Source organism: Homo sapiens, chromosome 4 (assembly GCF_000001405.40).
Source record: "Homo sapiens chromosome 4, GRCh38.p14 Primary Assembly".
Classification (NCBI taxonomy): Eukaryota; Metazoa; Chordata; class Mammalia; order Primates; family Hominidae; genus Homo; species Homo sapiens.
The window spans coordinates 116,297,689-116,313,734 of NC_000004.12; the positions used below are offsets into that span (position 1 = coordinate 116,297,689).

The 16,046-nt window shown below is 38.3% G+C and overlaps 1 non-coding gene and 1 pseudogene across 1 annotated transcript; both read left to right on the forward strand.

Annotated features, from left to right (window-relative positions):
- On the forward strand, nt 1,172–2,634 carry MTRNR2L13 (MT-RNR2 like 13 (pseudogene); annotated as a pseudogene).
- Nucleotides 2,037–2,080, forward strand: MIR1973 (microRNA 1973). The gene has a single exon (NR_031737.1). It is a non-coding gene; the product is annotated as a microRNA 1973 (primary transcript).

Below are 16,046 nucleotides of genomic sequence, written 5' to 3' on the forward strand. Positions count from 1 at the left end.
TTATTTATTTATTTATTTCTCATATTTTAATATTTACACTTAAGAATTTATGCAGTTAATGTAGCTTAATTATTCAAAGCAAGACACTGAAAATGTCTAGATGGATCCGCACAACCCTATAAACAGAGAGGTTTGGTCCTGGCCTTTTTACTAGCTCTTAGTAAGATTACACATGTAAGCATCCCTGCCCCAGTGAAAATGCCCTCTAGGTCACCCGGATCAAAAGGAGCAGGTATCAAGCAAGCATGAATACAGCTCAAAACAACTTTGCTCAACCACACCCCCATGGGAAACGGCAGTGATAAATCTTTAGTAATAAACGAAAGTTTAACTAAGCTATACTAATATTTAGGATAGGTCAATTTCGTGCCAGTCACCGCGACCATATGATTAACCCGAGCTGACAGAACTCAGCGTAAAGAGTGTTTAATTAAGGTCTACCCTCAATAAAGCTAAACTCCAATTGAGTTGTAAAAAACTACAGCTGAAATAAAATATACTACGAAAGTGGCTTTAATACCCTGAAGACACAATAGCTAAAACCCAAACTGGGATTAGATACCCCACTATGCTTAGCCCTAAACTCTAATAGTTACATTGAGAAAACCATTCGCCAGAGTACTACAAGCAACAGCTTAAAACTCAAAGGACTTGGCGGTGCTTTATATCCCTCTAGAGGAGCCTGTTCTATAATTGATAAACCCCGATACAACCGCCTTGCCACCTCTTGCCCGCAGCCTATATACTGCCATCTTCAGCAAACCCTAAAAAAGTTACAGAGTAAGCACAAGTACACATATAAAAACATTAGGTCAAGGTACAGCCTATGAGGTGGCAAGAAATGGGCTACATTTTCTATATCCGGCAAATCTCACAACAACCTTTATGAAATCTAAGGGCTCAAGGAGGATTTAGTAGTAAACCAAGCGCAGAGTGCTTGGTTGAATAAGGCCATGAAGCATGCACACACCGCTCATCACCCTCCTCAAATATTACTCTAGAAATCACTATTACTAAAAACTTTCTATGCACATACAGAGGAGATAAGTTGTAACATGGTAAGCGTACTGGAAAGGGCGCTTGGACAAACCAAAGTGTAGCTTAACCCAAAGCATCCGGCTTACACCTGGAAGATTTCATCATGATCTGTTCACTTTGAGCCAACGCTAGCCCCAAACCTCGCTAAAAATATTATCAAACTATCTTAATCAAACCATTTACATTAAACGAAAGTATAGGTGATAGAAATTTTTACCCTGGTGTAGTAGACATAGTACCGTAAAAGAAAGGTGAAAGAACTATATAAAGCACTAAAAAGCAAAGACAAGCTCTTATACCTTCCGCATAATGTATTAACTAGAAGTAACTTTACACAGAGGATTATAGCCAAGTCCCCCAAAACCAGATGAGCTACCCAAGAACAACTGAAGAGTACACCCATCTATGTGGCAAAATAGTTGGGAGATTCATGACTAGCGGTGACAAGCCTACCAAGCCTGGTGATAGTTGGTTGTCCAACGTGGAATCTTAGTTCAACTTTAAACTTACCCACAGAATTATTTACTCTCCCTGTAAATTTAGCTGTTAGTCTAAGAGGGACAGCTCTGTAGACCCTAGGAAACGACGTTCCTACAGAGAGTAAAAAATACTACCACCATAGTTGGCCCAAACGCAGCCACCAATTAAGAAAGCATTTAAAGCTCAACATCTAACTATCTTCAATTCTAATCACTCTACTGAACTCCTAACATCATACTGGACTAATCAATTACTTAATAGAACCAATAATGTTAATATAAACATTCTCCATTGCATACGTTTACATCAGACTGGAATAACCCACTGACAGTTAACAACCTAATATTAATAAATGATATAATAAGCACCCTATTATTTACACTGTTAACCCAACTAAGGTATGCTCTAAGGAAAGATTGCAAAAAGTAAGAGGAACATGACAAATCTTACCCCACCTGTTTACCAAAAACATCACCTCTAGCATTACCAGTTTTAGAGTCACTGCCTGCCCGGTGACATATGTTCAACGGCCATGGTATCCTGACCGTGCAAAGGTAGCATAATCGCTTGTTCCCTAAATAGGGACTTGTATGAATGGACACACAAGGGTTCAGCTGTCTCTTACTTTTAATCAGTGAAATTGACCTATCTGTGAAGAGGCGGATATAAACAAATGAGACTAGAAAACCCTATGGAGCTTTAATTCATTAATGCAAATAAAAACCCAAACAAGTCTAGAGGCCCTGGCCTACTATCCCTGCATTAAAAATTTTGGTTGGGGTGAGCTCGGAGCATAGTTCAACCTCCGAACAACCTAAACTAAGACTGCAGTAGTCTAAGCGAGTTAGTACACATTGACCAAATAATTCAATCAACGGAATAAATTACCCTACGGATAAAAGTATTGACAATAGGGTTTACAACCTCGATGTTGGATGAGGACATCCTAATGGTGTAGCCGCTATTAAGGGTTCGTTTGTTTAACGGTTAAAGTTCTATGTGATCTGAGTTCAGACCTGAGTAATCCAGGTCAGTTTCTATCTATATAACATTTATCTTAGTATGAAAGGACAAGAGAAATAGGGCCCACTTCATAAAGTGCCCTCACTCCATATAGTCTTCCATGCAAAGAAAAATTCATATATTGTCAAAACCACTAAGATTACTAAAAAGTATTTTTCTCAATGTAGACATATGTATCAGAAAAACAGAAAAATGTTTACAGATAACATATAAGCAACAAAAATCTAGAAAACTAATCTTATTTATCATATATATATTTCTATATATACATGTAAGGTAGTTTACATCATGTAAATTACCCTTATTTCAAATTTACATGTACCATGTACATGTACAATACCCTGAAAGAGACTGTCATTAATGCTGGTCATGCCACAGCTGTATCATTTCAATGACCAGAAGCTTGCCTGGTCATCATGGAAGTAGTACACTTTTCATGACTTTATGTTATTTCAACTGTTGTTTTATCTCTATGTTTCTGTATGACATGTCTAGAATGGTACATATGCTCCTAGGGTATGATGTATTTTAAATCAAAACATTTATATAAAATCAATTTTAATTTAGATTTGAATAGTTTTCTGTTATCTATGACTTGTAGTTATACATGATTTTTTTCTCCCACATTACCCTTGCTATTGAGACTCTCATATTCGATCAATTGTATCAGCACCATTTAGTCCTTCCCCACTCTGGAGGTGCAGATTTTAAATATATGCTCAATTATTACATAACTAATAAAATTCATGGTATCATGTGTACCAATTTTTGCAAAAAGACATTTTGAAAGTAAGTCTATCATTCAAAAGTCATTGAAAACACATTTTAATGTCTAATTATGATAAAAAAATTCACACTTGCATTTGTTTTGAGAAATGAATCTGTTATTGTCAGCAATTTAATATGGCATACTGCAAGAAAGTTACTGCTTTCTGACAACATAAAAATTCATAGCTCTCATAAAGAAATGAGTCTGAAACATGGGAAATTTCCCATGCTAAGCATTTAACTTACAACATAGTCATAAAATTAATAATTATATTCCAATGAAGACAATGGCAAGCTTTTTAAGCTTGAATGTTGTTAAAAAGGACTATATTGGACAAATTACCATATAAACACTAGAGAATTCTAATATAGACCTGACAAAAATGGACCTTTATTATAATATAGACTATAATTTATTACCTAATATTTTTAAGGCAAATTGCTTTTGAAGTTTCCCAGTTCAGAACATTCACATGATTCACTAGAAATGCTTAAGTACATACAGAACTTGCCTTTATCCTTAAACTGGGCCAATAATTTCCTCATCATCAAGTGTGTTTGCTTGTGGAACAATGAATGTTACAGGGAGTCCAGTTGATAACACCTGCCCATTCAAGTCTTTGCTTATGAAAGAACAGGCATTTTCTTCACTCTTCCTAGTCTCTTTACCTTTACACTCATCATACAAGTCAGTTTAGTATACTCGTTGATTTTCTTTTCATTTTTTTTCTATTCTTATTCTATTATCTGGATTCCAACAGAGAAGGTCCTGAAAAATATATATTTTTTTATTTTATTACACCAATTTATCTGGTTTTGAAGCACAAATATGTATTAACAACAAACTTAGTGAAGAAGGCTTGGAGCTCTTACACACGAACACATACTTTTGATATATTTTAGTTCTGTTAAAAATGTACATAGCACCTCTCCCACCCCCACACACTGCTTATAAGTATAGTAGAGAAAATGCAGTATTTCCTCAGAAGACGATGGAGAATTTTCCAGCCTCATTCCCTTTTAGGATACTTACAGTCTGAAAAAGGCATTTCATCCCATCTTGAGCCATTGAGGACAGGTAAAAGTTGGTGTCCAACATTAGACTAAGTTTCTTTGGTAATGTAAGAACTACGACAAGTCCTTCCTTCTCAATATTTTAGTTTTTGCTTTATTTTTGGTGCTATGCTAATTGGCTACAAGATATTTCTCACTATCTTAACTTTAAAAAGTGTGAGATTCTTTTTAATTTCCTAGGATATGTAGCCAAAATATTGCAGATAATATTTGGATAATATTGGTAATCAATTTTAACACACTTGAAATTAAGGAATAATTACAACTACCAAACTGAAAAAGAGCATTGGTTTTAGAAATATTTGTCAAGAAATGAAGAAGCTGGTTATTACTATGCAACAACTGAATTTCTTATTTTTAGCATATGAACATGATTAGTCTTTCAGATCTGGCATTTCATTAATTGATCTGATTTTTAGTGAACTGCCATAGTAGTCTAATATGGTTTGGCTGTTTCCCCACCTAAATCTCATATTGAATTCCCATGTGTTGTGGGAGGGACCTGGTGGGAGGTAATTGAATCATGGGGACAGGTCTTTCCCATGCTGTTCTCATAATAGCAAATAAGTCTCATAAGATCTGATGGTTTTTAAAAGGGGAGTTTCCCAGCACAAGCTCTCTTCTGTTGTCTGCCTCCATGTAAGATGTGCCTTTTACCTTCTGCCATGATTTTGAGGCCTTCCCAGCCATATGGAACTGTAAGTATAATAAACCTCTTCTTTTGTAAATTGCCCAGTCTCAGGTATGTCTTTTTCAGCAGTGTGCAAACATACTAATACAGTAAATTGGCACCAGAAGTAGTGCTTTGCTGAAAAGATATGTGAAAAATTGGAAGTGACTTTGGAACTGGGTAACAGGAAGAGGTTTTGGAGGGCTCAGAAGACAACAGGAAAATGTGGGAAAGTTTGGAACTTCCTAGAGACTTATGGAATGGCTTTGACAAAAATGCTGACAGTGATGTGAACAATAAGGTCTGGGCAGAGGTGGTCTCAGATGGAGATGAAGAACTTCTTGGGAACTGGGGCAAAGGTGACATTTGTTATGTTTTAGCAAAGAGACTGGTGGCATTTTGCCCCTGCCATAGAGATTTGCAAACTTTGAACTTTACAGAGATGATTTAGAGTATCTGGCGGAAAACATTTCTAAACAGCAAAGCATTCAACAGGTGACTTAGGTGCCATAAAGGTATTCAGTTATAAAAGGGAAACAGAGCATAAAAGTTTGGAAAATTTGCAGCCTGACAATGCAATAGAAAAGAAAATTCCATTTTCTGATAAGAAATTCAAGTCAGCTGCAGACATTTGCGTGAATAATGAGGAGCCAAATGTTAATCCCCAAGACATTGGGGAAAATGTCTCCAGGGCATGTCAGAGGTCTTCATAGTAGCCCTGCCCATCACACGCCCAGAAGCTTAGAAGGAAAAGATGGTTTCATGAGCTGGGCACAGGGCCTGCCTGCTCTGTGCTGCCTAGGGACTGGTTATTCTATGTGCCAGCCACTCCAGTCATGGCTAAAAGGGGCCAAAGTACAGCTCAGACTGTTGCTTCAGAGGGTGGAAGTCCCATGCCTTGGCAGCTTTCACATGGTGTTTAGCCTGCAGGTGCACAGAAGTCAAATATTGAGATTTGGAACCTCCATGTAGATTTCAGAGGATGTATGGAAATGCCTGAATGGCCAGGCAGAAGTTTGCTGCAGGGGTGGGCCCTCATAGAGAACCTCTGCTAGGGCAGTACAAAAGGGAAATGTAGGGTTCGATCCCCTACACAGAGTCCCTACTGGGACACTGCCTAGTGGATCTGTAAGAAGAGGGCCACTGTCCTCCACACCCAAGAATGGTAGATCCACCAACAGCTTGCACTGTGTGCCTGGAAAAACCAGTTACTCAATGCCACCCCATGAAAGCTGCCAGGAGGGCAGCTTTACCCTGCAAAGCCACAGGGAAAGAGCTGTCCAAGGCCACAGGAAGGCACCTCTTGCATCAGTGTGACCTGGGTGTGAGACATTAAGTCCAAGGAGAGCATTTTGGAGCTTTAAGATTTGACTGCCCTGCTGGATTTTGGACTTGCATTGGGCCTGTAGTCCCTTCATTTTAGCCCATGTCTTCCATTTGGAGTGGCTATATTTACCTGATGCCTGTAACCCCATTGTATCTAGGAAAAAACTAACTTGCTTTTGATTTTACAGGCTCATAGGCAGAAGGGACTTGCCTTGTCTCAGATGAGACTTCGGATTTTGGACTTTTGAGTCAATGCTGAAGTTAGTGAAGACTTTAGGGGACTGTTGGGAAGGCATGATTGGTTTTGAAATGTGAGGACATGAGATTTTGGAGGGGCCAGGGGCAGAATAATATTGTTTGGCTGCGTCCCCATCCAGATCTCATCTTGAATTCCCATGTGTTCTGAGAGTGATCCAGTGGGAGGTAATTGAATCATAGGGGCAGGTTTTTCCCATGCTGTTCTCATGGTCGTGAATAAGTTTCATGAGGTCTGACAGTTTTAAAAAGAGAAGTTTCCCTGCACAACTGTCTTCTCTTGTCTGCCACCATGTGAGACATGCCTTTCACCTTCTGCCATGATGGTGAGGCCTTCTCAACCACATGGAACTGTAAGTCTAATAAATAAATTTTATAAATTGCCCAGTCTCAGGTATGTCTTTTATCAGCAGCATGAAAACAGACTAATACATAGTCTGCTTGATCAACATTATAACATCCACAAGCCTTTTTCTGAGTTGTAGTTAAGTCAACTAATTCTTTTTTTTTTTTTTTTTTTTTGAGGTGGAGTCTTGCTCTGTCACCAGACTGGAGTGCAGTGGTGCAATCTCGGCTCACTGCAACTTCTGCCTCCCAGGTTCAAGCAATTCCCCTGACTCAGCCTCCCAAGGAGCTGGGATTACAGGCACACGCCACAACACCTGTATAATTTTTTGTATTTTAGTAGAGATGGGGTTTCACCATATTGGCCAAGATGGCCTCAATCTCCTGACCTCATGGTCCACCTGCCTCAGCCTCCAAAAGTGCTGGGAATACAGGCGAGAGCCACTGTGCCCGGCCAAGTCAACCACTTCTTAACAAACAATACCAATTATAAATCAGCATTGACTTTGTGTCACTACTGTATGGAATTAGTTATTTCTGATTTTCTAGGCTGTGTTCTACCACTCCCAGGAGAAGAGTAGTTTATCTGTTGTGCAAATAGTAGCATATTTTCCCCCTTTTTCTTGCTTAGATGTAATGATATCAATACATGTCAATATAATACAAGTATTGCTTAGATATGATGACATCAATACATGTCAATACAGTACAAGTTACTGCTTACCTTGACATTCAGTGATTTGGACTCTGAATCTTTCATGGGATGTGTAAATTCCAATCCCAAGCATAATCCCTATAGAATGTTAATCCTTGTAAAATCTCATTCAGATATGAAAATTTCTGCTTGTAGTGTATGCATTTTATGTTCTGACCACTATCAGTCCATTCCTCAGGCCCTTGAAATAATATCTAATAAAAAATTTATCTAGCTCCTGGTAGAAAATTATTCCTAAAGTTACCTGACTTAAAATCCCACTGAAACACATGTTCCTGCATCAGCAAATAATGGAACTATATTTCTCCTGACCTATGCAAGTCTGGCGTAAAACTTTCAGCAATTTGAAGCATGCATAATTAAATTAGTGCTATTTCTTGAGCACCTGATTGTACTGATGAAACTATGTTTATATGAATCACAAGTTTGAGATTCAGTACTAAAAGCAAGTAAAGAAAGCAAGAAAAAAAATTACTTCTTGCTAAAGATTTTTTTAAAGTATATTATTTTGAATACTGACCTAAACATAGGGCTATTTTAGAATGACTAGCTCAGAACATACTAACAACAAAGTAATATATTGTATTCTGATACCTTTTAACTTCCTCCAGTCCAGGAAATTCTGCAAGGACATAATAATGTGGGATCTTCCTGAAGATGAGATTAATCCCATTTGAAGTTATTCTACAAAAAAAAATTCAAACAGGTGGAATTTGTTAGTGTTAACAGGATTTGGGTTGAGAAGGAAATTCTATCTTCTGAGGCAAAAGGCATATAGAGTTTCATTTTTCCAGGATGGAGATCTCCAGTTCAGGCTGAGCAGTGAGGATTGAAATTGCCTTTGCCACAAAGTGACAGCCAGGAGGGATGTGTGCTGTCAGAGCTGCTAAGGGCCGACCCAGATATTGAGGCTAGTTTATTGTACATCTCAAAATAACTGAAAGAGTGGAATTAGAATGCTCCTAACACAAAGTAATAATAAATTCTTGAGGTGAGGGATACTCCACTTACCATGATTGATCATCACACATTGTATACTTATATCAAAATATTACATGTACCCCATAAATATATGCATCTATTATGTATCCATAATAATTAAAAAATTAAAAAAGAACTACTTCTAGAAGTGGCTTTCTGATTATTTTCTTATGTTTTCTAAAAGTGACCTTTGCACCTGAGTTGGGGAGATGAAGAGAATACTGTAAGTGAAGAAGCTTTGGGCCATTCCTTGCAAAACAAGCCTGTAATAAATGGCATAGATGTGTCAACAGTCTCAGTGCGGATGAAAAGCAGTAAAACAGTCAGTGTGACTAAAAATTAGCCATTTCAAATGTGATGTTTCCCACATTGTCCTTCTTTTATTCTTATTTTTCTTCTCTTCTATTATTATCAATTTCTTATCTAGTATATACTTTTTAATTTGATTTACAAACATATATACACATATTTAGACACAATGACATATCAAGAATTTTAAAAATATGTATCTAGCAGGATTTATTATAGATGATTGTAAGTGAAATGCCAAATAAATAGAGCTTACACAGATGAGCTTATTCACCTCATAGATAAGAGATCTGAAGATAAATAGTCCAGAAAATGAGTCCCTTCTTGCTTTCGGCTATACATACCACATTTTAATTCTTATATCCCCCTTTTACTTTTTTAGGAAATTATGGTGGCTTTAATTTGAAAATGTATCCATCAGACTTGTGTTTCAACTCCAACATGTGAAGAGCTTAGAAGTCATCATACCTGTCTTTACAACAAGAAGAAGCTGAACATACAGAAAATCAAGACATTTTCATGTGTCCACCAGAGAACTAAGGTCAGAGTAAATCGTCATGATGAAATCTGGAGAGACAGGCAAGTCCAGAGAGACACAATAAAAATCTTCTCACCTGGAAAAGACATCACTAAAGACAATAACTGGTAGGGTCTCTATACTTCTGGAAGCTGAGTGTAGAAGTGTAGAGTAAAAACTAGAGTGAGAATAAGAAAATCATATTTTTTTGCAGGATACACACATTTCTGGAGTTTACCTTCGGAAATCTCACCAGGTTCTCCCTGTGGAGATCTGAGAAAGACCCTCTGTTGGCTCTAGCAGGGTAGAAAATACAAGTGTAATCATAATGAAATATAATATATGTCATACACAGAGTCTTTTGCAAGGAAAAAGACTCAGTCCCTTCTAGACTTCCTGTCACATCAAAAGTGAAATAAACAAACACAAAACCTCATTGTAGCGTCAAGATTCCAAGCATGTACGTTGAGAACTTTTCAGCCAGGAAAAGGAGGCAGAGCCTGGTCTTGCAAGCAGAGCTATATTACTGAAGAAACACTTTTTAAAATCTCAAGGACAAGACCCAGACCTTATTAAAATATTAAGATTTAATAAAAACACATAAAATATTCCTGTTTTCCACACTTTACCACCACCCCAATAGGATTCCAGTAAAATAATAGTGGAGGTGGCTGATTAGGATAGACTCACTGATGAGATATTTAAGGAAAGGCTAAAACACCATGAGGAATTTGGCAAGGCAGGTATCTTGAGTATAAGATTTCCAGGGAGAGGGGTCATCACTGAGGCAAGAATACCACTGACTGAACCAAGAAACATCAAGGAGACTACTATAGATTAAATAAGTAGGAAGAAAAAGAGAAGAGGAAGTCAAAGTGGTAACATGTAGTCAAATCATGTACAACCTTGTAGGATATTGTGAGGGGTTAGCTTATGTGTAGTAGCAGAAAAATTTGTTAGGAAGCTGTTTTAATAATGGAAGGAAAGACAATAATGGATCTACCGAATATAGTACCAGTGTAGACACCATGCTGTGTCTATTAAATGCTGTGTCTATTAAACCATTCAGTAGGTTTTCGCTTCTTTCCCCATGTGAACTTTTTCCCTATGACTTTGTTTTTTTTCTCAATAACGCAGTTCTGCCAGCCACAAAGGCATGAAAACCTAAAATCATTTTAATTGCTTTCTGTCATTTGCTATGAATGAATATATTCCACTAATTCTAGCTCAGGAATGTCTCTTGAAAATGATTGTACATATTGGAAATCCATAAATTTATCATTATATTTTTAATTGTTCTTACAGCTATATTCTACCTACAGCACATCTTAAATACTTAACCTAGAACAATCATTATGAAGTTTTATATAATTTACCTATTCAAAAATCTTCATTGGCTCCTTATGCAGTTGAAATTAAAGCTTTTCAAGTGCTGTTGAAGTGCTTGGCTCTAATATCTACTATTTGCTCTTTATCTAAACAATGCTTCAATCCAGCACAAATTCTCACTATTTATAATATGTAAAAGATGAGTTTTTGCCTTAACAACTTTCTTATTTTGTTATCTTGGGCATGAATAACTTTCTTATGATTTAAATTTACTAGTTTAAATATTTATACTAAATTACTGTAAATAGTCAGTCTCCTTTGGGATGCCTAGAAAAATGTCTTTCACTCACTTAATATTTTCTGATCTCATGAGTAAATTATTTTACCGAAGTAATGTATTACATCATTTTAGAAAAGATAATAGTTTTAATGACTCAAATGTTTTAAGTGATTTTATCAGTAAATTTTGTCTCATTAGATGTTATAATCTAGATTATTAGCAAGGGAAAAATAATACAACAAATTAATACCAAAATTCAAATTCAAAATAAACATTTATACTGGAAAAAATGAACCAAATGCAAAATGCGAACTATATCCAACTTCTTTTCACTATAATATATGTTATACAAATTCAAATGAGTAATTACAAACACTTGGAAAACTTAGCTAAGCATTAGTTGTGCCATTGATAACTAAACAATGAGGCTTTCTCAGCTACGAATAACAGAGACAAGATGTAAAAATAATTTTAGAAGATACCACATTTTCCCTTTCAAACACTGATGTTTTGTGAGGAGAAAAAATACATCATAACTAGGCTAAAAGAACATTATGTATTGGAGTTTTTTTTTTTTCTGAATTTACCAACATCTTTGGCCCACACTTATTGGCCAGAGTGAAATTAGAAACTTCCACATAGCTTTGGCATAGTAGTGGAAAATCAGGAGGGGAACTCTATTTTTCAGGCTTATGTAAGGAAAATTGTGAGCCTATGTAAGTCTGTAGGAAGCACTTCAAACATAGTGCAAGGCAGAGACAATGAATCATTATTAGATAGTACCTAAATCGGTGAATTAAATAATTTTTTGACACACCATGGTCTTATAATTCTATGTAGAGGCTCCCTGGGTCCCAGTCTTCCCAATAAAATACATGAAATTGTTATCAAAACACCAGGGGTTTGGTCTACATCCTGCTATTCACTGCATAGAAAGTCAATCACTGAGACAACAAATGTTGCCAGGGAAAAAAGCTTTAATTGGGTGCTGCATTTGAGGACATGGGGGATCAGTCTTAAATTCTTCTCTCTGATCAACTGAAATGAGAGGTTTATGTAGCAGAGAAGAAATGTAGCTGCATGCAGAAAAACAGGAATTAGCAAGAGGTAAGGAAGAGGAGTTGGTTAACAGGAAGCAGGTGATCAGTTAGGCAATTATGATGGATGAGGCGTCTAGTGTCTCATTGTACAGATGCAATGATCTGGTAAGTTTCAGTTCATTGATACTATCTGAGAAGGCTGATGGTTGGTTTCCCGAGAAAGGAACTCAGATAAGAAAACTGTAACTTTCATAAGTTTTAAGACTGGGAGTAGCTGGATGTGGTGGCTCACGCCTGTAATTCCAGCACTTTGGGAGGCCAAGGCAGGTGGATAACGAGGTCAGGAGATGGAGATCATCCTGGTAACATAGTGAAACCCTGTCTCTACTAAAAATACAAAAAATTAGCTGGGCATGGTGGCGGGCGCCTATAGTCCCAGCTACTCAGGAGGCTGAGGCAGGAGAACGACATGAACCTGGGAGGCAGAGCTTGCAGTGAACACAGATTGTGCCAATGCACTCCAGCCTGGGTGACAGAGCAAGACTCCATCTCAAAAAAAAAAAAAAAAAGACAGGGAGTGTCGATTTTTTTATTTATTAAAAAAACACACACACACATAAACATCAGTTCAGTTCTGTGGGGCAACTGGGTTGGTTTCAAAGCTACTTAGATTGCATGTGGTTAGTAGAAAGTCAGGTTGGAAAAATAATACCTCTGTGGTTGGAAATATTGAGCCTGGAAGCCCATGGCCAAAACTCCACTGTTAGGAATCAGCCACTGAAAGAGCCCAAGAACATCAGACACACCTCAACAGTCTTCAGTTCATGTAACAAACTAGTTTGCTAACAACCCAGAAATTTGAAAGTCTAGAGGTCTTGTTGGATCTGCAGAATCAATTTTCCCTCTGTACTGTAAGTTTGTAAGCTAGTTTGTAAACTAGAAAGGGAAGGAAGTGGTAGCAGATATCTGAAAGACTGAGTATTTAACTCTATAGAGAAATTCTCAGAGCTATAGTATATATCTCTATGGTGTTTGTCTGCAAAAGCTTGAAATACACAAATAAACTACTCAAATTAAGTTATTCTAACATAACTAGAATATATTTCGTTAACTTTGCACTTGTACCTACTTCATTAAAAAGCAGATATCAGTTAGAGGAAAAAAAGTACAAGTATAGCTCCACCAACTACTAACATAACTATGGTAGTTCTTTTCCTAAAGATAAAGCTAAGAAACCTGTTTCACCAGCTGTATTAGTATAAGACTAAGACATGTTTCACCATCTGTATTAGCTCGTTTTCACACTGCCAATAGAGACATACCTGAGACCGGGCAATTTATAAAAGAAAGAGGTTTAATGGGCTTACAGTTCCACATGGTTGGGGAGGCCTCGCAATCATGGCAGAAGGTGAAAGACACATCTCACGAGGCAGTAGACAAGAGAAGAGAGAGTGTGCAGGGAAACTCCCATTTTTAAAACCATCAGATCTTGTGAGACTCATTCACTATGATGAGAACAACACCAGAAAGACCTGCCACCCTGATTCAGTTACCTCCTACTGCATCCATCCCACAACATGTGGGCATTCAATATGATATTTGGATAAGCAAACAGCCAAACCATATAATTCCACACTTGGCCCTTCCCAAATCTCATGTCCTCACATTTCAAAACCAATCATGCCTTCCCAACAGCCCCCAAAGTCTTAACTCATTTCAGCATTAACTCAGAAGTCCACAGTCCAAAGTCTCATCTGAGACAAGGCAAGTCCTTTATGCCTATGAGCCTTTATACATTTTCTTATGTTCCTCTGAGCCCTCCAAACTGTTCCAGAATCTTCCTGTTACCCAGTTCAAAAGCAAGTTAGTTACTTCCTAGATACAATGGGGATACAGGTATTGGGTAAATACAACCATTCCAAATGGGAGAAATTGGCCAAAACAAAGGGGCTAAAGGCCCCATGCAAGTCTGAAACCCAGTGGGGCAGTCAAATCTTAAAGCTCCAAAAAGCTCTCCTTTGACTCCATGTCTCACATCCATGTCACACTGATGCAAGAGGTGGGTTCCTATGGTCTTGGGCAACTCTGCCCACATGGCTTTGCAGGGTACATCTTCCCTCCCATCTGCTTTCACAGGCTCACATGAAATTGAGTGTCTGAAGCTTTTCCAGGTGCATGATCCAAGCTGTCTGCAGATATATTCTTCTGGGGTCTGGAGAATGATGGCCCTCTTCTCACAGTTCCACTAGGCAGTGCCCCAGTAGGGACTCTGTGTGGAGGCTCCAACCCCACATTTCCCTTCTGTATCACTGTAGCAGAGGTTCTCCGTGAGGGCCCCCGACTGCAGCAGACTTCTGCCTGGGCATCCAGTCATTCCCATACATCCTCTGAAATCCAGGAGGATGTTCCCAAGCCTCTATTCTTGACTTCTGTGCACCCACACTCCCAACACCACAAGGAAACTGTCAAGGCTTGGGGCTTCCAACCTCTGAAACAACAGCCCAAGCTGTGTCTTGGCCCCTTTTAGTCACAGCTGGAGCAGCTGGGATGCAGGACACCAAGTCTCCATACTGCAAACAACAGAGGGACCCTGGGCCTGGTCCAGAAACCACCTTTTCCTTCTAGGTCTCTGGGCCTGTGATGGGAGGGACTGCTGTGAAGACCTCTGACATTTCCTGGAGACATTTTCCCCATTGTCTTGGGGATTAACATTTGGCTCCTCACTTATGCACATTTCTGTGGCCAGCTTTAATGTTTCCTCAGAAAATGGGATTTTCTTTTCTATTGCATTGTCAGACTGCAAATTTTCCAAGCTTTTATACTCTGCTTCCTTCATAAAACTGAATGCCTTTAACAGCACCCAAATCACCTCTTGAATGCTTTGCTGCTTGAAATGTTTTCCACCAGATACCGTAAATCATCTCTGTCAAGTTAAATTCCACAAATCTCTAGGTCAGGGGCATAATGCCACCAGTCTTTTTGCTAAAACATTGCAAGAGTCACCTTTGCTCCAGTTCCCAAAAAGTTCCTCATCTTCGTCTGAGACCACCTCAAGCCTGGACCTTATTGTTCATATCACTATCAGCATTTTTGTCAAAGCTATTCCACAAGTCTCTAGAAAGTTCCAAACTTTCTCACATTTCCTTATCTTCATCTAAGCCCTCCAAACTGTTCCAATCTCTGCCTGTTACCCAGTTCCAAAGTCGCTTCCATATTTTTCTGATATTTTTTCAGCAATGCCCCACTCTACTGGTACCAGTTTCTTATGTTAGTCTGTTTTCATTTTGCTGATAAACACCTGCCTGAGACGGGGTAATTTACAAAAGAAAGAGGTTTATTGGACTTAACAGTTCCACATGGCTGGAGATGCCTCACGATCATGGTAGAAGGCAAAAGGCATGTCTTACAAGGTGGCAGACAAGAGAAGAGAGCTTGTGCAGGGAAACTCCCCTTTTTAAAACTATCAGGTCTCGTGAGACTTATTCACTGTCAGAAGACAAGCACAGCGAAGACCTGCCTCCATGATTCAATTCATGAGTCAATTCCCACCAGGTCCCTCCCACAACACATGGGAATTCAAGATGAGATGTGGGTGGGGATACAGCCAAACCATATCACCCACCCAACTTTCTGAACCAAGCAGTTAGTACTTCATGAGTGTGGTAGGCTCATCAATAATCCCCAAATATGTCCATGTCCTAACTCCTGAAAACTGTGAATATATTATCTTAGATGGCAAAAAGGACTTTGTGTATTTTATTAAGTTAAGGATCTTGAGATTGGGAGATCATCCTGCATTATCCCACTGCCTCTTGTGTAATCACATGGTCATTAAAATAGACAGGCAAGAAGTCAATTGGTGATAGTGGAGAGGGTGGGAAGATGTTACACTGCAA